The 21,670-nt window shown below is 41.0% G+C and overlaps 1 protein-coding gene across 11 annotated transcripts in view, besides 2 other annotated features; it reads left to right on the plus strand.

Moving 5' to 3' along the window:
- Positions 1-21,670, plus strand: part of ZCCHC17 (zinc finger CCHC-type containing 17) — a 67,905-nt gene that overhangs the window by 39,041 nt on the left and 7,194 nt on the right. For 6 of the 11 annotated variants that reach the window (NM_001282568.2, NM_001282566.2, XM_047422508.1 and 3 more), the window contains 4 exons: positions 1,103-1,203; positions 2,885-2,976; positions 10,568-10,668; positions 12,757-12,902. In NM_001282568.2, the coding sequence (NP_001269497.1) occupies positions 1,103-1,203; positions 2,885-2,976; positions 10,568-10,668; positions 12,757-12,902 (440 nt within the window). Of the gene's footprint in view, positions 1-1,102; positions 1,204-2,884; positions 2,977-10,567; positions 10,747-12,756; positions 12,903-21,670 lie in introns of all 11 variants that reach the window. The other 5 variants (NM_001282573.2, NM_001282572.2, NM_001282567.2 and 2 more) reach the window with 4 other exon arrangements.
- Positions 16,830-17,124: a silencer, noted in NCBI's record as "tiled region #7682; HepG2 Repressive non-DNase unmatched - State 16:ElonW, and K562 Repressive non-DNase unmatched - State 16:ElonW". NCBI's record gives its function as "represses a minimal TATA promoter and a strong SV40 promoter by Sharpr-MPRA in HepG2 and K562 cells {active_cell/tissue: HepG2 | K562}" and the evidence as "EXISTENCE:reporter gene assay evidence [ECO:0000049][PMID:27701403]".
- Positions 18,817-18,984: a silencer, noted in NCBI's record as "fragment chr1:31827736-31827903 (GRCh37/hg19 assembly coordinates)". NCBI's record gives its function as "represses an EF-1alpha promoter that drives an FKBP-Casp9 reporter gene in an ReSE screen in K562 erythroleukemia cells {active_cell/tissue: K562}" and the evidence as "EXISTENCE:reporter gene assay evidence [ECO:0000049][PMID:32094911]".

The raw sequence follows: 21,670 nt of genomic DNA on the forward strand, positions 1-21,670 counted from the left end.
TGTATTTATTTATTTGTGAGATGGGGGTCTTGCTCTGTCACCCAGGCTGGAGTGCAGTGGCGCAATCTCAGCTCACTCCAACCTCTGCCTCCTGGGCTCAAGCAGTGCTCCCACCTCAGCCTCTTGAGTAGCTGGGATCACAGGTTTGCACCACCACGCCCAGGTAATTTTTGTATTTTTGGTAGAGATGGGGTTTTATCATGTTGCCCAGGCTAGACTGCAAGTTATTTCAGCTCTGTAAGTTTTTTGGCTCTTGTGAGTTTTTCCTTTGAAAAAATTCTATTGATGATATTCTTGCATCAAAGATAAACATCTTTATCTTTTTGCTTTCAAATAATTTTACCAACTTATATTTCTATCAGTATTGTGTAACTACAGATATTTTATCACATCTTTACTAATATGGAGCATTACATTTTTTAAATTTTTTGTTTTTTATTTTTAAAATAAGATTTACAATATTTAAAAAATAGAGATGGGGTCTCGTTATGTTGACCAGGCTGGTCTCAAACTCCTTGCCTCAAGGTATTCTCCCATCTTGGCCTTGCAAAGTGTTGGGATTACAGGCGTGAGCCACTGTGCCTGGCCTATTTTATTTACTTATTTTTTTGAACCAAGGTCTCACTCTGTCACCTGGGCTGGAGTGCAGTGGTGCAGTTGCAGCTCACTGCAGTTTCAGCCTCCTGGGCTCATGCGATCCTCCCATCTCAGCCTCCTAAGTAGCTAGAGCTACAGACACGTGCCACCATGCCTGGCCAGGTTTTTTTTTTTTTGTATTTTTTGTAGAGACTGGGTTTTGGCATGTTTCCCAGGCTGGTCTTGAACTCCTGAGCTCAGGCAATCTGCCCGCCTCAGCCTTCCAAAGTTCTGGGATTACAGGCATGAGCCACTGTGCCCGGCCACTTTGAGCATTATTTTAAGAATGTTTGTTGGTTGATTGGGTATAAAAAGCAGTCTCAATTTGCAGTTTTAAGTTTCACGCTTTTCAGTAAAAATTTTCATTTTTCCCTTGCATTCCCCAACTCTTACCTTCTTATCCAGTTTAGAGTATAAATACCAGATATGCCCTCTGCTTTACGTTATTTCTTCTTCTTGTGCCCAGGTCTGGTCCATCGAACTCATATGTCATCCTGTCGGGTGGATAAGCCCTCTGAGATAGTAGATGTTGGAGATAAAGTGTGGGTGAAGCTTATTGGCCGAGAGGTAAAGTTCTGTGCGGCTCCCTTGTGGTTAGAAAGGATTAGGAAGAGCTGGGATTTTTGATATTTTATGATAGTGAGTGTGTAAATTTTGTTAATTGTGCTGATAATCTTATTTTTAAATCCTGCCATTAGAATCTATTCTGAATTCAAACCTTCTGGTAGACTGTCCTGCAAACTCAGAAGGAATGATATGAGCTATAAAAGTGTGGTGCAATAAGTGCACGTTTGTAAAACTTCCCTCCCTGAAGTTTACCCATAGGGTGGGCCGGAGGAGAGAAAAAAGAACCAAAAAGAGAGAAGGAAAGTTGACCTATGGGACAAGTGTTTATCACAGACTTCAAAGAATACCTGCCAGATACACTTCAGTTTGGGACAAAACAAAAAGAACACAGATAGTTTACAGTCATTTTCCCTAATATCTGGCACCATGCAATGTGCAGAAAGTGAAAAAAATCTGAAGGACCCTGTTACTCACTTGAGGGTATGAGGGCTGTGGGTGTGGGCCGACCACAGGAGAAATAAGAGCATACACTGAGTCCTGTTCTACCAGAGACAGCACAGGAGATAGGCATGAAAGAACTATTATTCAACAATATTTAAGTGCTTAATATGTGCTAGGTTTGGGAGATATAAGAGCGAACCAGACAAAAATGATCCCAGCTATTATGGAGTTAATATAGAATATAAGTAGAGACAATTTTTCTTTCTTTTTTGAGACAGGGTCTCTCTTTGTCACCCAGGCTGGAGTACAGTGGTGCCATCACGGCTCACTGCAACCTCAGCCTCCTGGGCTCAACTGATCTTGCCACCTCAGCCTCCTGAGTATCTGGGACTACAGGCACGCACCACTAAACCTGGCCTTTTTTTTTTTTTTTTTTTTAATTTTTTTGTCAAGATGGGGTCTCACTGTGTTACTACCCAGGCTGGTTCAAACTCCTGGGCTCAAGTGATCCTCCTGCCTTTGCCTCCCCAAGTGCTGGAATTACAGGCATGAATTTCCATGCCTGACCAAGACAAATATACATAAAATAATTGCAAGTTATATTAAGTGCTATATTGGGTTCAAACACTATTGGAAGAAGATTTCTAGTTGTCAGGAAAGGACTCTTTGAGGAGATAGAATATGAGCTGAGACCTTAAAGAAAAGGAACTAGTCATGGAAGACTTGGGATAGGAACATTCCAGGCAGAGAGAATAACTGATGCAAAGACCCTGAAGTGAAGAAGTGCTTCATGTGCTGCGGGAAGCAAAAGAAGACCAATGTGACAAATGTCTTCATGCTTAAAGAAGCTCTAGACCAAGTCCAGAAGGAGATCTAGTCTCTTGAAGTATTCAAAAACCTATTCTGGACTTAGGGATATCTCAACAAATCACTATGCTGAACTTACCTGGAAGAAAAACTTTTATTTTCTGCCTGGTTACTTCCACAAGCCATGGATTTTTTGAGCTACCATTTTTGTCTTTCCCTCAGAGGGACAAGAATGAGATTAAGACTGTTTCCTAAAATTCTTCTGCCACAGGGTCTACCTGTTATGCTTATTTGTATCTGCAATGTTCCTAGCACAGTACCTGGTCCATTAAAGAAGCTCAATGTTATGATGAAAACGTTGACTCTTAATTTTAGACTGGCCATCTAAATGATGTATTTAAAGTTTTTGGTGACTTTTTTTGGTCTCTTTCAGATGAAAAATGATAGAATAAAAGTATCCCTCTCCATGAAGGTTGTCAATCAAGGGACTGGGAAAGACCTTGATCCCAACAATGTTATCATTGAGTAAGTAAAAGGTTTGGAAAGGTGAAAATTCTTCTGCCTCCCAAATCATAAAATGGTTTAGTAAATCAGACTGAACTGGTAACTCTACCATTTATGGACTTTGTGATATTGATAAGTTACGTAACCTTTGCAATCTTTGGTTTTTAGAAATGTAAAATGAAGTTAGACCAGGCGTGGTGGCTCACGCCTGTAATCCCAACACTTTGGGAAGCCGAGGTGGGCGGATCACCTAAGAGGTCAGGAGTTTGAGACCAGCCTGGCCAACATGGCGAAACCCCGTCTCTACTAAAAATACAAAACTAGAAATTTGCTGGATGTGGTAGTGCGTGCCTCTAGTCCCAGCTACTCGGGAGACTGAGTCATGCACTAGAGTCTCTTGAACCCAGGAGGCAGAGGTTGCAGTGAGCTGAGATCATGCCACTGCACTCCAGCCTGGATGACAGAGTGAGACTCGGTCTCAAAAAATAAAATAAAGTAATAAAATAAAAATAGTTAACACCTTGCTGCATAGAGTTCTAAGATGAAACGTTAACGTACCAAGCTCCTGGCATTGGAGTGCTCCATCAATGGTTTTGTTTCCTTTCCCTTAATCTCTTTCTGTTTCTGCCCTTTAACGAGTTAGCTAATAAGCATTCATGAAGAACTATTCTTTACCTCTCTCCCAGTGATTTCTGCAGGTGGGGTTACGTGGGTCTCTTCCACATAGAGACCACGTGGAAGGGTAGAGTAATCCAGGAACAACTCCAGCGGGGTTTAGACTCCCACATCTTGGGATACACTGTGCTCTGAAAACAACATCTTACTTTCGTTGGCTCTTCTGACCTTTCATTTAGGAATGGGAAATTATCTATGTAGGACAATGTCTGGCAATACAAGGAATGTTCTGTCTGTCTCAAGTCTTTCTTGGATTTCTTTTTTTTTTTTTTTTTTTTTTTTGAGATGGGGTCGCCCAGGTTGGAGTGCAGTGCCATAATCACGGCTTACTGCAGTCTTGACCTCCCAAGCCCAAGCTATCCTCCCACCTCAGCCTACCGAGTAGCTGGGACTACAGGCATGCGCCACCACACCTAATTTTTATTTTGTAGAGACAGGGTCTCCCTATGTTGCCCAGGTTGTTCTTGGACACCTAGGCTCAAGCGATCCTCCCACCTTGGTCTCCTAAGTGCTGGGATTACAATTGTTAGCCACCATGCCCAGGCTTCTTTCTTAAATTTCTCATCGGAGGTTCTTGGATCCCTAAAGTCTCTTAAAGGGGGATCTTGGAGGGTTTTTTTTTTTTTTTTTTTTGAGACAAGTTTCACTCTTGTTGCCCAGGCCGGAGTGCAATGGCACAATCTCGGCTCACCGCAACCTCCGCCTCCCAGGTTCAAGTGATTCTCCTGCCTCAGCCTCCACAGTAGCTGGGATTACAGGCATGTGCCACCATGCCCGGCTAATTTTGTATTTTTAGTAGAGATGGGGTTTCTCTATGTTGGTCGGGCTGGTCTTGAACTCCCGACCTCAGGTGATCTGCCCGTCTCGGCCTCCCAAAGTGCTGGGATTACAGGCGCGAGCCACCGCGCCCGGCCCTTGGAGGGTTTATTAACTGTTTTTAGTGTTTTAGAAAGCCATCCAAAATTCTATGTGTGTCCTCAGGTTAACCATGCTGTTATTTTGTTGCTTTTGATGATAAAATATCACATTGTTTGTCTTATGTTAATTAGGTACGCTCAATGACAATTATGTCATTGATGAATTTAAAAGACAAGAAAAATGATAGAATGTTATTTGAGTGGGATCTTATTGGTGAAAAGTTTGGAAAGCCTTATGTTTATAGTTCTGAGCAAAATCACTTTGAATTTGAAGGAATTTTATCTGGAAGTAAGGGAAATGTTATTGAATACATACTGCAGTGCCAGGCATTTTATGTACATTCTTGGGTACATAACAACCTGCAAAGTGGATGTTATCTCCATTTTACCTTATATTCCTACTTTATAGCTTGGTGCCTGGTGATAAGTAACTTACCTGTGGTTACATAGAAAATTATCAGGGACTCAAAACTCAGTCTCTCTGACCTTAAAGCTAATGCCCTTTTCACCACAAAATGCTTCTCACTCTTGCATGTGACTTACAGAACTTTTCATATTTCTGTGGTTTAGTCTCTAAATATTAACATGTTTGTAAGGCTGATTATTGACAAAATACTGTCAGTAATAGTAGGAATCTTTTATAACTCAGAGTGCAGAAGTGTTTAAATCTGGCTGTGGTTCAAGTTAGTGTTGGGAAAAGGAAAAAGAAAAAATTCTGATGATTGCATTGTAATAAATAGCTTCTGCTCCAAAAAATCCAATGCTATATGGACTCATTAAAAAATAGTGAAATTTCCCAAAGCCACCCTTACAGTGATAAAATATAAAACATGTAAGATAAAAGAGCTAACCCTGTTTCTCAGAAAATGGGTAGGGAAGGGAAAGGGCTCCCTGGTTTTGGGCTGTCTCTGTGTAGAACTATTTTTAGTAATAATCAAGTGGCTGAAACAGTAACTTTTGTTGTAAATTATGTCTATAGCTGCATCCAGGAAGGAAGCATGGCATAATGGAATGATTAGAGGATTTAGAGCTAGACTTGAATCAGAAAGAGTACTGGTTCTGCTCCAAACTAATATATGACTTTGAGCAGATTAATTAGTCTATCTGAATCTTAGCTTCTTTACTATAAAAGGAGACAGTAACATATATCTAAGGAATGCTTGAGTGATTTAAGTAAAATCTTATTTGTAAGGAGCCAGCTTCATGTCTAGTCTATGGTAGACATACATGTAGCTACTTGTAGTTATTGTTTTAAATGCCGCTTTGTTTTATCCTCTAATATCTGAGATTATAGCACCTTTTCTTTTTTCCTCATACTATGGTGTACGGAACCACACCTTTGCTTTTGAAAGAGTGTGTGTGTAAGACCCACAAAAACAGAGACCATGACTTGTCTGCCATTGTGCCTGATGTATAGCATCCATAGTATTCATTTAGTTTTTTTGAGATGGAGTCTCACTCTGTTACCCAGGCTGGAGTGTAGTGGTACAATCGTGGCTCACTGCAACTCTGCCTCCTGGGTTCAAGCAATTCTCATTCCTCAGCCTCCCGAGTAGCTGGGATTACAGGCATAGTCCACCATGCCTGGCTAATTTTTGTATTTTTAGTAGAGACGGGGTTTCACCATGTTGACCAGGCAGGTGTCAAACTCCTGACCTCAAGTGATCCCCCGCCTCAGCCTCCCAAAGTGCTGGGATTACAGGCATGAGCCACTACCGCTCAGCCCTAGTTAGTACTTTCATTTACTCATTTGTTCAACAAATATAAGGCAACTTGTAATAAATACTAAAAGAGTAGTTTAAAGCAGTTGTCCCCGACCTTTTTGTCACCAAGGACTACTTTTGTGGAAGACCAATTTTTCCATGGATAGGGGGCTGGAATGGTTTTGGGATGAAACCGTTCCACCTTAGATCATCAGGCATTAAATTCTCATAGGGGGTGCGCAACCTAGATCCCTCACATGTGCAGGTCACAATAGGGTTTGCACTCCTATGAGAATCTAATGCTGCTGCTGATCTGATAGGAGGCGGAGCTCAGGTGGTAATGCTCCTTCACCTGCTGCTCACCTCCTGCTATGCAGCTTGGTTCCTAACAGGCCATGGACCAGTAGCAGTCTGTGGCCTGGGGGTTAGGGACTCCCTGTTTAAAGAAAGGGTTCTAGGAATTCACTTGAGGAGGAATAGTTTACTTCAGGCCTTGATGGTCAGAGAATAGGTGGTATTTGAGTTAGGTTTTGAAGAACAGATAAGATCTTGTCAGACAGCAGGGGAAGGAATGGTATTTCAGGCAAAAGAAATGGTTTGAGGAAAGGAATGAGGCAGAAAAGCACATAGTACATTTGGGAACCTTGTTTAAGGAAAGAAGAGGATATGGTCAAGTACTAGAATGGAAGGCTTGAAAGATAATTTAGGGTCAGATTGTGGAGAGCCATGAATATCAGTTAAAGAATATGAATTTTTATTTATTTATTTTTTGAGATGGACTCTTGCTCTGTTACCCAGGCTGGAGTACAGTGGCATGATCTCTGCCTCCCAGGTTCAAGCAATTCTCCTGCCTCAGCCTCCTGAGTAGCTGGGATTACAGGTGCCCACCACTGCGCCCGGCTAATTTTTGTATTTTTAGTAGAGACGGGGTTTCACCATGTTGGCCAGGCTGGTCTTGAACTCCTGGCCTCAAGTAATCCGCCTGCCTTGGCCTCCCAAAGTGCTGGGATTACAGGCGTGAGCCATCACACCCAGCCCATGAATTTTTTTAAAAAAGCCTTTGGACAGAGAGGCTTCTCGTCAGATTAACCTCCCCAGGAATCCCATTGTCTGGCCTTGCCCTGTTATGCTCAGTATTCTCATCCTGTCTTCAGCCATCCATAGTTTGTTAGCCACCTTTCATTTTCCATAAAAATCTAACTCTTATATTCATCCCCTCAGGTCCCAAAGTGTTAATGAGATAATCTAATAAGTGACTCTGTAAATGGAAAGGGGCTAAAAGCAGTTTCCAATTAGGCATAGCCTGCAAAGTACAGTCTTTTTCTTTTTTATTATGATCAAGATCAGAATTGAGTGTAGTATATAATTTTTTTTTTTTTTTTTTGAGACAGGGTCTTTGTCTCCCAGGCTGGAGTGTAGTGATCATAGCTCACTACAACCTCAAATTCCTAGGCTCAAGTGATCCTCCTCCTTCAGCCTCCCAAGTAGCCAAGACTATAGGTCCATGCCAGCATGCCCCACTAATTTTTTTTTTTTTTTTTTTTTTTTTGAGACAAGAGTTTCACTCTTGTTGCCCAGGCTGGAGGCAGTGGCACGATCTCGGCTCACTGCAACCTCCACCTCCTGGGTTCAAGCAATTCTCCTGCCTCAGCCTCCCGAGTAGCTGGGATTACAGGCATGTACCACTATGCTCGGCTAATTTTTGTTTTTTTAGTAGAGACGGGGTTTCTCCATGTTGGTCAGGTTGGTCTTGAACTCCTAACTTCGGGTGATCTTCCTGTCTCGGCCTCCCAAAGTGCTAGGATTACAGATGTGAGCCACCATGCCTGGCCTAATTTTTAAATTTTTTGTAGAGATGACGTCTTGCTGTGTTGCCCAGGCTGATCTTGAACTCCTGGTCTCAAGTGATACTCCCACCTTGGCCTTCCAAAGTGCTGAGAGATTATAGGTGTGAGCCACAACTGCTGGTCCATAGGGTAGTCTTTAGAAAAAGCACATATGACTTAACTCTGTTAAAATTTTTCATTTGTATGTCTCCCTCCATTGCCAGACTATTAGTTCTTTCCAGAAAAGAATCATGTTTTGTTCGTTTTGGTATACATAATTATTACTATCACTAGTATTAGCACTGGCGTTATCCACTTACTAGCTGTACTGAAAAAATGAGATTAATCTCAGAATCTGTGCTGGGATGGATTGGAGGAAGAAAACTGGAGGCAGGGAGACCAGTGAGGGAGTTATTACTCTAGATGAAACATGATGGGAGCCTAAACTAGAATGATGGCAATGAGGACAAAAAGAGAGACGTGGGTGACTGACACATTTGTTGAATTGAGTGTTAAGTGGGAAGTATGATTTGGTTTGTAGTCTGGTAGAAGCCACAGAGTATTGGAATTGATTGTCATGGGGGTTGCTTAAGCTGCAACTCACAGCCACTTGAAACTCATCTCTACAAATAGATAGGTGAAAGCAAAAACCATGTTTGTGAGTTCCTTGAGTTATGTCCTCAAGTTTCTGCCTTTGTTATGGGTTTTTTTTTGTTGTTTGTTTGTTTTGGAGACAGGGTCTTGCTCTGTCACCCAGGCTGGAGTACAGTGGTGCAGTCCGCTCACTGCAACCTCAATCTTGCAGGCTTAAGTGATCCTCCTGCCTCAGCCTCTCGAGTTGCTGGGACTACAAACACAAGCCACCATGCCTGGCTATTTTTTTTTTTTTTTTAAGTAAAAGGAATCTGTACTGTTAGAAATTAGAATTGTGATTACCCTTGGGGGAGGCAGGTAACTAGAAGGGAGCATGAGATGGGCTTCTGAGATGCTGGCAATGTTCTGTTTGTTTGTTTGTTTGTTTGTTTTGAGACAGAGTCTCGCTCTGTCGCCCAGGCTGGAGTGCAGTGGCGCAATCTCGGCTCACTGCAAGCTCTGCTTCCCAGGTTCATGCCATTCTCCTGCCTCAGCCTCCCAAGTTGCTGGGACTACAGGCGCCCGCCACCTCGCCCGGCTAATTTTTTGTATTTTTAGTAGAGACAGGGTTTCACCTTGTTAGCCAGGATGGTCTCGATCTCCTGACCTTATGATCCACCCGCCTTGGCCTCCCAAAGTGCTGGGATTACAGGCATAAGCCACCACACCCAGCCTTAATGTTCTGTTTTTTGATCTGAGTACTGGTTACTTTGGTATGTTCAAATTATGAAAAATCAAGTGAGCTGTATACTTATGACAGACATTTATATATATATATATAATATAATATATATATATATATTAGTTCTCACACTGCTATAAGAACTACCTGAGACTGGGTAATTTATAAAGAAAAGAGGTTTAATTGACTTATAGTTCCACTGCCTGTATAGGAGGCATGGCTGGGGAGGCCTCAGGAAACTTACAGTCATGGCTGAAGGGTGAAGGGGAAGCAAGCATATCTTCATATGGCGGCAGGAGAGAAAGAGAGAGAGAGCAAAGGGGAAAGTGCCACACACTTTTAAACCATCAGATCTCATGAGAACTCCCTCACTATCACATGGGGGAAATCCGACCCCATTATCCAATCACCTCCCACAAGGTCCCTCCCCCAACACTGGGAATTACAATGTAACATGAGATTTTTGTGTGTGGGGGAACACAGAGCCAAATCACATCAACATATATATTATATTTTGGTAAGAAGTCTAAAAATGTTTTAAAAGGCTATGAGAAATGCAACAAAGAGATTAATTCTGTCTGAGGGGCTCAGAGGAAAAGACTTGATAGAAGGAGAGCTAGTAACTGAACTGAGCCATGAAATGTCTAGGTATAGTGAAGTGGTGAGGTGAGAGTCAAGTGGGGAAACAGAGCATTTCAGAGAGGGGGAGAACTGCCTGAGCAAAAGCACTGAGCCACATGGATAAGAGAAAATAGACTTCTTTGGCCAGAGCATATTGTGTGAGTAAAGATGAGGCTGGAAAAGTAGTTTAGAGACAAACTGTGAAAGACCTTGAATGCCAAGGTAAAGAATTTGGAGCTGATTTTCTAGAAAGCCTTTGAAGGTCTTTTAAACCTATGAGTGACCTGGTAAGGGTTGTAGGGTGTTTAGCATGTTGAGTAATTATATATTTTCATCCTCTGTGCATTAGTGAGATGAAGGTTAGTCTCATTCGTAATTGTTAATTTAGGGCTATTTCACATCATTGCATTTACTGCCTGTCTCGTTCTGTCAAAAACTTTCTTTCTTTCTCCCCTTTCCCTGCCAAAAACAAAAAACCAACATACAACCTTACCTTGTAGTATCTCTGGCCATATCTCTTAAGGGGGCCGGCAGTCGGTATCTTTTTCATTATAGGCAAGAAGAGAGGCGGAGGCGATCCTTCCAGGATTACACTGGGCAGAAGATCACCCTTGAGGCTGTCTTGAACACTACCTGCAAGAAGTGTGGCTGTAAAGGTAGGGTGAAGCCTCTGCCCTTTCCACGTTTCTCTCCTTGTGGATGGACCCTTTTCTGGAAGAAGGAGGCAGCCCAGTGTGAGTTTAGTTTACCCTGTTTTTTAGCCAAGTGATGGCCTTTGCTGTTTTTTCCACCAGACTCACATCAGAGTTCATGGGGTGATACATTTTCTGTTTTCTTTTCTGAGTGCTGGCCCTACCAGATACTATACCACTACCACCACTCCTCCCACCCCACCCACAGCATATGCCTTGTCTGGGCAAGACCCCCATGAACTATGCCAGGAGGAGTAAGAGTGTTGGATTATGATTAACACTCTAATTTTATCTCCAAGGATGATGATTCTGCAAAAATTAAGCAACTTAGACATATATAACTTAAAGATCCAAGTCAGACTCTCATCTTTATCTCTTTAATGTCAGAGTTCTGAATACAATATCTTTTTACAGGATATTGAATAAAGAATACAGGATAGTCACTTCTTTTTAGCTCTATTTCCTCAGGTTTCCTCTACTCTTACTCAAATTTTAAAAGGTCTTTCAGCCTGATCCCTAGTTGGAGCTATAATGAGAGAGATTGCCAGCTTCTCATTTTCAGGTTGACCTCAATTGTCACCCCTTCTCCCTAGTCTTCCGTCTACCCTACTGTGTGATTTTTCTACAATAACTGGTAGCAGATTTGTGCCCTGGTTGAAGTTGTGGGGTTTTAAGCCCCTATTTATCATTAGCATAGAGGGGAGAAGGAAAAAATAAAATTGAGAGAAAGAATACCTCCTCAGGAAAACTGTGGGAACATTCCAGGTATTTGGAAAACTCTGCTATATTTCCCTGCCAGGTGCCACCCAGCTGTTGGACCCAGAGGTACAGAGTACTTTACAGATAGCTTTTTTTGTTGTTTTTAAGGTAGGGTCACCCAGGCTGGAGTGTAGTGTTATGATCATGGCTCACTGCATCTTTGACCTCCTGGGCTCAAGCAATCCTACCTCAGCCTCCTGAGTAGCTGGGACCACAGGTGTGTACCACCATGTCCAGCTAATTTTTAAAAATTTTTTGTAGAGACGGGGTTTCCCTGTGTTGCCCAGGCTGGTCTCCCTGGGCTCCAGTGATCCTCCTGCCTCAGCCTCCCAAAGTACTGAGATTATAGGCATAAGCCACTGTGCCCAGCCCACACATAGCTTTTTGATTATCTCATACAATTCCTCTGTGCCCCTAAGACAGGATCTACCACAAACTCAGACACAACTAGCAGTGTAGAGCATAGCATCTGTTAAAGGGCCCCTCAGTACCACTATAGGCTCAGTGAAGGTGGGGGTCTTTTAACCTTAACCGTGTCCAACAGGCATTACATAAAGAAGAGAAGAATAATGAGAGGTGGAATTTGTCCCAGTTAGTAAAGGTCAGGTCAAAGGTAGTTGGTTTTGGTGCAGCAGAAAGCACAGGGCAGGGAGGCATGAGACCCAGGATAAGTTTGAACTCTGCTTCTGTCTATATGACCTTGAGCTACTTCTCAAATCTGGGCTTTCATCTTCTACAAATGTAGGATGGATTTAATGATTTCCAAGGTGCTTGCCAGACCTGACAGTCTGTAAATGTTCAGTGCCCCTAGGTGACTGTGCCTATTTCTCTGTGTGTTAGCTTAGATGTGAGTGCCCACTTGCTACCAGCTACCTACAAGCTATATTCCTTTAGGGCTTGGCCTGCCACTCAGCTCCTTCTGCTAAACATCCTGCTCTCTGGAGCAGTCTTTGATTGTCAGGAATATGTTCCAAAATAGATCTTAAAAAATTAATAAGCCCCATTGTTAATGGAGGGCAGTAAAAACCTGCATCCTCATATCCTTTGCCATTTCGAGAACAGTACCAGTGTTCCCCACAGCCCTGAGACCAGCTGCTAGTCTGGCTGTGGTTGAGTGAGCAGTGTCATGTTGAGGTGGTAGAAAATCTACCCTGAATCAAACAGCTGCTTTGAATGAACTCAACAATATTTCCTGAGCCAGCTAGCCCATTTCAGGAGACTTGGGGAAAGATTCACTTGCTGAGAAGAGAGACTACTTCCTTTTTCTATACCTTTTCTACTTTTCTTCTGCAGGCCACTTTGCAAAAGATTGTTTCATGCAACCAGGTGGGACTAAATACTCTCTGATACCTGATGAGGAAGAGGAAAAGGAAGAGGCAAAGTCAGCAGAGTTTGAGAAGCCTGACCCTACAAGGAATCCTTCTAGAAAAAGAAAGAAGGTGAATGCTACTTTGCTTTTATTTTATCATGTCTTTTTCAAGTTTTAAGATGAAAATCTGAAAAGCCTCATGCAGCAGTACACACCTGTAGTCCCAGCTACTTGGGAGGATAAGGTGGGAGGATTGCTCGAGGCCAGAAGTTTAAGGCTGCGGTGCGCTATGATTATGCCTGTGAATAGCCACTGCATTCCACTCTGAACAACATAGTGAGACCCAATCTCTAAAAAGAAATTTTTTTTGTTAAAAAAAAAAGAAAAATGAAAATGTGCTTTTTGCAGAAATTTTAGAAATACTGAAAAACATAATGAAGCAAACCAAGATCTTCTGTAACCTTTCTACCCAAAGAGACTCTTATTGGCATTTTGTGGTATATTCTAATCTTTTTTCTTTTTTTGAGACAGGGTCTCTTGCAGTGGTATGATCTTGGCTCAGTGTAACCTCTGCCTCCCAGGTTCAAGCGATTCTCATGCCTCAGCCAACTGAGTAGCTGGAACTACAGGCATGCGCCACCATGCCCGGCTAATTTTTGTATTTTTAGTAGAGATGGGGGGTTTTGCCTTGTGGGCCAGGCTGATCTCAAACTCCTGGCCTCAAGTGATCTACCCACCTCGGCCTCTGAAAGTGCTGGGATTACAGGCATGAGCCACGACACCCGTCCACTTTTTTCTAGGTAATAATAAATACAGATATATATAGCTACACATACATGTAAATACAAAATTGTGGTCATACTAGCTATAGTTTATACCTTTTTTTCATTTCACTTATCAAAAGCATTTCCTAGTATCCTTAAGTGTTCAAAAACTTGATTTAAGAGCAACATAATATTCTACCCTATGGCTGTATGATGATATATTTAATTATTTTTGTATTACTGGATATTTTTTATTACTTCCAACCTAAATTTTTGGCCACATCTCTTATTGTTTTCTTGGATAAATTCCTAAGTAAGATTACTGAGTTAGGGCTTTAACGCTCTTGATACATTTTATCAAATTGCCTTCCAGAAAATACTTATCTGTCCCTAGCAGTGTATCAGAGCACCTGTCTCACTGAATTCCATCTCCTATATCTACTATTTATGGCAGAGCAATTCATAAAACAGATATTATTGTGGTCCAGAAAGAAACAGTGCATTTGTAGCATGCTACACAGACAATAAAAACTATTCTGTAGGTTGATCAGGAAATATTTCTTCTATCGTGTAGGATTTTTCTAACTATGGCCAGTATATTGACTTTTGTTTCGTTTTTAAATCTTTGGCAAACTTTTGTTGAGGGGTCATTTTGTACCAGGCATTGTAACTCTAGGAATACAAAAACTGATGAGGTCCTTGCCCTCAGTGGTTATTATCTATAGATTAAGTATTATCTTAATTTTCTGGGTGAGGAAAAGTTCTCTATACCATTACAAGAATTAGCCAAGTATATGAATAATAATTTCCCAATCTATATATTCTCTTTCTCGGTGATCCTATCCCTCCTGAGACTTTAGCTGCATTATTGACTTCCACATTCTTAACTAGGATGCCATGGGTACCTCAAACTTTGGCTGGAGTCAGTCAAATCCAGACTTGAGGCTCTTCTGTGCTATTTACTAGCTGTTAATTTGGGGCTTTATTTTTGATTTTCTTTTTGTTTTTTGAGATGGAGTGTCATTCTGTCTCCCAAGCTGGAGTGCAGTGGTGTGATCTCGGCTCATTGCAGCTTCCGCCTCCCAGGTTCCAGCAATTCTCCTGCCTCAGCCTCCTGAGTAGCTGGGACTACAGGCGCAAGCCACCATGCCCGGCTAATTTTTGTATTTTTTTAGTAGAGACAGGGTTTCACCATGTTGGCCAGGGTGGTCTCAAACTCCTGACCTCAAGTGATCCGCCTGCCTTCGCCTCCCAAAGTGTTGGGATTACAGGCGTGAGCCTCCGCGCCTGGCAAACTTCCGTTTTTTCATTTTCGAAGTGGGATTGTTGTGATCTTTGATGACAATGTTCTTGCAGAGGGATGCCTGACTCCCAAAAATAAGATATAAAGCACTGACAAGTAAGTTCCTAATTAGAGTTGGCTGTTATGACAGCCCTAATTATCTTTTTTAGTCCTCCTTCCTAAACATACACACACACACTACCACCATCACCAGTACCACCAAAACCCTTGTTTCTACCTTTCTATCATATATTATTACCTATTAATGTCAGCAATACTCTCCCAGTCTCCCAAGAAAGAAACCAATGTCATTTATTTTCCTCTCCTTTTCCATCCCACATCTAGTCAGTCACCAAGTCCTGGCAGTGGTGCCTTTTAAGTGCATATCTCAAAATTGTTTATCCCATTCCCATTCCCACTGCTACTGTACAGTTTATCCCCTCACTTCTCTTACAGTCAGACTATTGAACGCTGTGGCCTAGGGAGTTTTAAAAAATACATATTTGCCCTCTACCTCTTAGGTACCATGTTTACAGGGCCTAGGTCTGGGCATTTTTTTTTTTTTTAAAGCACCTTTTTTGGCTGGGCATGGTGGCTCATGCCTGTAATCCCAGCTGAGGCTGGAGGATAGCCCAAGTCCAGGAGTTTGAGACCAACCTAAGCAACATAGGGAGACCCTGTCTCTATAAAACATAGAGAAAATTAGCTGGGCATGGTGGGGCACGGACTGTGGTCTCAGCTACTCAGGAGGCTGAGGTGGGAGGATCTCTTGGGCCCAGGGGTCAAGGCAGCAGTGAGCTGTGATTATGCCACTGCGCTCCTGTCCGGGCAACAGAGCGAGACCCTGCCTCAAAACAACAACAACAAAACCACCTACTTTATGTCACTGCCCACTTCTGTTCATTGTTGATTTCTCACCCTATGCTTTAACTCTGAATGTTGGAGTGTTCCAAGGGAATCTCATCCTGTCCTATGGTTTTAAATATCATCCCTATACTCATAACCCCCAAATTAAGTGCTTGTGTCTGTATTTTATCCAAATCTGCATTGCTATTCTTGACTTTTTCTCTGGAACTCCAAATTTAGTTAATAGACTGCCTACTTGACGTCTACATCTGGTTGTCTAGTTAGCATCAAGTTTAACATACCTCCAAAACTTAATTTTCCTAGCCAAAGCTGTTCTTTCCACATTTGGCCCTGTCTCAGTGATTGGAACTCATTGACCCATTTGATAAGCCAAAATCTGCAGCCTTTTTGTATAGTGTTTTTTGTTTGTTTTTATGGTAAAATACACATAACATAAAATTTACCATTATAGAAGTGTACTGTTCATTGGCATTAAATACATTCATATTGTTGTACAACCATCACTGTCTTTGATCTCGAGAACTCTCTATACTCATTAAACAATAACGCCCCCCATTCACCCTTCCTCCCTGCACTTGCAACCACTGTTCTACTTTCTGTCTTGAAACCATGTGGTATTTGTTTTTGTGACTGGCTTATTTCACTTAGCATAATGTCCTTAAAGTTCATCTGCATCATAGCATATGTTAGAATTTTCTTCCTTTTTAAGCCCAAATAATATTCTGTTCTATGTATTTATTTTTTGAAGCAGGGTCTTGTGCTGTTGCCCGGGCTGGAGTGCAGTGGCACAATTATGTCTCACTGCAGCCTCAACCTCCTGGGCTCAAGTGATCCAGGAGTGTGCCACCACACCCAGCTAATTTAGTTTTTGTAGAGATGGAGTCCTGCTATGTTGCTCAGGCTGATCTTGAACTCCTGGCCTCAAGCAGTCTTCCCACCTTGGCCTCCTAAAGTGCTGGGATTACAGGCATGAGCCACCACATCGAGCCCCATTTTATGTATATACCACATTTTGCTTATCCATTTATTTTTGGTGAACACTTGGGCTGCTTCCATATTCTGGCTATTGTAAATAATGCTGCTGTGAACATGGATGTATAAATATCTCTGAGACCCCACTCTTCTTTCTTTTTGGTATATACCTAATAGTAGAATTGCTGGATCATATATTCTGTTTTTAATATTTTGAGGAAGCACTCTGTTTCCCATTGTACGTTCCCATCAATAATGCACAAGGGTTCAAGTGTCACTACATCCTTGCCAACACTTATTTTCTGGGTTTTGTGTTTTTTGGAGAGTAGCCATCCTAATGCGTGTAAAGTGACATCTCATTGTGGTTTTGATTTGCATTTCCCTAATGATTAGTGATATTGAATATCTTTTCATGTGCTTATTGGCCATATGTATATTTTCTTTGGAGAAATGGCTATTTAAGTTCTTTGCCTATTTTGCATAAGCTTGTTTATTTTGTTGTTGTTGTTGATATGTAGGAATTTTTTATATGTTCTGGATATCAATCCCATCAGATATATGGTTTGCAAATACTTTCTTCTAATCTGTGGATTGTTTTTTTACTCTGTTGATAGTGTCCCTTTTTTCCCTATCAGATTTAGACTTTTTAAAATAGTGGTAAAGAACATATAACATTTACCATCTTAACTATTTTTAAGTGTACAGTTCAGTAATGTTGAGTATGTTCATGATAGTATTCATTGCACAAAAAAATTTTAATCTTGGTTAAGTTAAACTTACCTTTTTTTCTCTTATTGCTGATGCTTTTAATGTCATACTCAAGAAATCATTGCCAAATCCAATGTCATGAAGCTTTTCCCTTATATTTTTCTAAGAGTTTTGTAGCTTTAGCTCTTACGTTTAGGTCTTTGATCCATTTTGAGTTTATTTTTGTATATGGTGTACAGAAAGGGTCCAAAATTTCTTTGCATGTAGATCTCTAGTTTTTAAAACACCATAGGTTGAAAAGACTGTCCTTTTCCCCACTGAATGGTCTTGGCCCCTGTTGAAAATCATTTGACCAAATAAGTGAGGATTTATTCTATCACTGGTCTATATGTCTTTATGTCAGTACCACACTGTTTTGACTACTGTAGCTTTTTAGTAAGCTTTGAAGTTGGGAATTGTGGATCCTCCAGCTTTGTTCTTTTTCAAGATTGTTTGGGCTATTTGGGGTCCTTTGAAAGATTTCATATGAATTTTAAGATAGATTTTTATATTTTTGCAAATTCTGATAGAGATTGCATTTAATCTGTAGATTGCTTTGGATAGTATGGACATTTCAACTGTATTAAATCTTCCAATCCATGAAAATTGGATATCTATTTGTATCTTCTTTAATTTCAGCAACATTTTGTAATTTTCTGTATACATGTCTTTCATCTCCTTGGTTAAGTTTCTTCCTAAGTATTTTTTTCTTTTTGATGCTACTGTGTGAATTGTTTTCTTAATTTTTTTTCTGATTGCTCCTTGCTACTGTATAGAAACACAACTGATTTTAGCATGTTCGTTTTGTATTCTGCAACTTTGCTAAATTCACTTACTCGTTCTAACAGGATTTTTTTGTGGACTCTTTAGGGTTTTCTACATAGAAGATCATGCCATCTGTAAACAGAAATAATTTTCTTGCAGATTTAGTTTTTTTTTTCTTTTGAGGCAGAGTCTTGCTGTATCACCCAGGCTGGAGTACAGTCACATGATCGTGGCTCACTGCTGCCTTGACGTCCTGGGCTCAAGCCAGATCTAGATTTTTAACTGTGATTCTATTTGTATGTTCCAAGCATTATTCTTTCTCTTTTAACCTTTTAGAGGTAAATGGTACTTGTTACATTCCTAAAGAGGGTATATGGATATCTCACTTCTGTGGATCTTTGGTTGAGTTCTTTTTGCTGAATATATTGAGTATAATTTGTTATTCCTTTGTTTCTAAAGCTGCTTTGAGATATGTATTTCAGTTCACAAAACCAATTACTGAGGCTCTATCTGCTAGGTATGAGGCTCTTTATGACCTGCTTAGTCAACCTACTACCCAGCCCTCCATTGCCTTTCACTTAGTAGAGGAATGGTCTGATGAACAATGGCAGTAATAATCATTATACATTATTATTTCTTAAAAGTATCTTTGGCCGGGCACGGTGGCTCATGCCTGTAATCCCAGCACTTTGGGAGGCCAAGGCGGGTGGATCACTTGAGATCAGGAGTTTGAGACCAGCCTGGCCAACGTGGCAAAACCCCGTCTCTACTAAAAATACAGAAATTAGCCAGGCGTGGTGGCGAGGGCCTGTAATCCTAGCTACTTGGGAGGCTGAGGCAGGAGAATTGCTTGAACCCAGGAGGCGGAGGGTGCAGTGAGCCGAGATTGCGCCACTGCACTCCAGCCTGGGCGACAGAGTGAGACTCCATCTCAATTAAAAAAAAAAAAAAAAAAAAAGTATCTTTGTGTATATGAACTTCTAACTCATGAGTCCTCTTTGATTAAAAAGTGTTCTAGGGAGTGTAGAAGGGTAAAACTTTCCTCTTGATGCCCACTATTTCTACCAAGATAGCATTTAGCATCGTTGTCTTTTCACCTCATTGTTAATCCCGTCATTACCTTTTATGCCTCATATTTGTTTAGTGCTTACAGTTTATAAAATACATTGCTGTTTTTGTTTCTTTTTATCATTATACAATTCTATGAGATAGCCAGAACAGGAATTATTATCCCACCATTTTACACATGAGTAAAATGGAGCTTCAGAGAAATTGACGTAACTCACCGGAAGTCACACAAATATAAGAGATAATGCTGAAAAAATAACCCATGTCTTCAGATTACTAACAATATTCTTTTCTGTATATCACACTTCAACCATTTATTTAACTCTTCAATTATTCATTTACTGAACAAATATGTATTATCTGCTTCATAGGTATCTAGCATTGTGTTAGGTACTTGACATATCAGGACTCATCAAGTCAGTTTTTGGTGGGTTTTTGTTTTGTTCCCAGCTACCGTTAGCCATCATGTGATGTTATCTATTGATTTGTTTCTGCTCACAACTGTAAATCAAGATTCCAGCCCTCCTGTTTCCTTTTACCCTCTAAATCTTGGATTCCAGCAGGAGGTTGGTTTTCCTTAACAGTAAAATCTTCTGTCTGAGATGGCTTTTTTGGTGTGTGAGTGGCAGATTTGGACACTTGTTTCAGGACTAGTCAGCTCTGGGAGCCAAATATGGAACTGAGTAGATTTGTGAAGGAACATGCCTTTAGCAGTCCATGCTCCTGAGTTGGACAGTGGAGAGTAGGAATGCCTGGCGTGTGGAAGGGCATATATGATAGTAACTCATGTAAGTTCAGTTAATGCATTTCTAACAGTTAAAAAAGTAACTCATGAAATAAAGATCATATGGTACCTACACTCAAGCGGCTAATCATATAAGGAGAAAGATAAGCAGCCAAGCTATGTATGGTGGTAAAGGATAGAAACACATTCCAAGGAGGTTATTTGATTTTATGGACATCCAAGGACAGGAAATGCAGTGTAGTCAGGCCACCTAGGACTAGAACTGGAAAGTCTCATTAGGTTCTCATCTCCGTTTCTTCACAAGTCTGTTTCATTACCTCACTTTTTATAGTCTAGTGGAAGACAATGCAAAGCCTCTAAGAAGACAGAAAATGGTAGACCTGTTGAGGAACCACCAGAAATAGCCCAGGATAAGGAAAGGATGTCACCTTTTACAAATAATGCCTGGTACTTAATAGGAATACATGCACTAACTACCTGTGAATAGATAGACTTCATAATCTGTGCTCTCTGTCATTCCTTGGGTGTCTTCACTCAGTGAAACCTGCCCTCAGATTGCAGAGTAATAGGTATTGACTCCTGCTGCTGGCAGTGGGCGATAATGAAAGGAGCAGGGGCAGGAGTAAGAATAACAGATCTTCCTAACCTTGAGCCTTCCCACGTCTTTTCATTAAAACATACATGTATTGAATGCCTTTTCCCACAAGTCCAGGATGCATTGATTTAGTTGTGTGCATCTGGCACCATGAACAATTTTTGTCCCAGTGACTGAATGTTATAAATAATTTTTGTTGGGCATAATTAGAATAAAAGGAAACTGTGTGTTGCAATTGGAAATGGGCTATGAAGTGGTTGGTAAAATAGGAATGGAGGTTTTGTAGTGAATCCCTGGATAATCTTCTGATGAACTTGTGGTCTGTGCTTTACTGGCCTCTTTCATTAATCATATGCCATCGTAGGTCTTTCTGAATCGGTGTTATGTTATGAAGAAGTAAGTGCCTTGGGGACCAAGCTGCCCACTGATTATAGTAAACTTTAGATATGTTTGATTCAGAATATAATTTTCTTTTGATTTTACCATATGATTTTCTGCTGTACCATATATAGAAGAACAAGAAATAGGAATGTCATTCTTTGGCTGCAGTGTTGGCTCTGTCCTGCTGTCCAGAGAACTTCTTCTGGTGCCTATATAGAGAAAGGTTGCCAGTCCTGAGCCCACTCAGGGACACATTCTCTGCCTATTCAGATACAGCAGAGAGCGTTGCCCAGTGTTGCCTACTCAGAAGCCTTCAGTGGTTCGCTTTCTTCTATGACATAAAGTCTAAGTTCCTTTAAGACTCTTCACAATCTGCCCAGCTTCCTAGCATCATTTCCCACCAGTCTCTTCCCACACACTATACTCCAGCTTCATTCATTAATAGAGCTTCTACTGTGTGCTAAGCTCTGTTCTGGCCATTGCAGGTAAAGTAGTGAACAAAACAGGTAAAATCCCTATCTTCATGGCACTTAGATTCTAATGGATGGGGTCGATTGACACAGATAATAAACTGGTAAACAAATACAAAATAGTAAAAATAATGTATCAAGTAGTGATAAGTGCTATAGAGAAAAATTAATTTGATTAAGGGAGATAGGGAGTCCTAGAATGAGGATGTGGGGAGCAGGTGACTTTCATTTTAGATAGGATG

Source organism: Homo sapiens, chromosome 1, assembly GCF_000001405.40.
Source record: "Homo sapiens chromosome 1, GRCh38.p14 Primary Assembly".
NCBI lineage: Eukaryota > Metazoa > Chordata > Mammalia > Primates > Hominidae > Homo > Homo sapiens.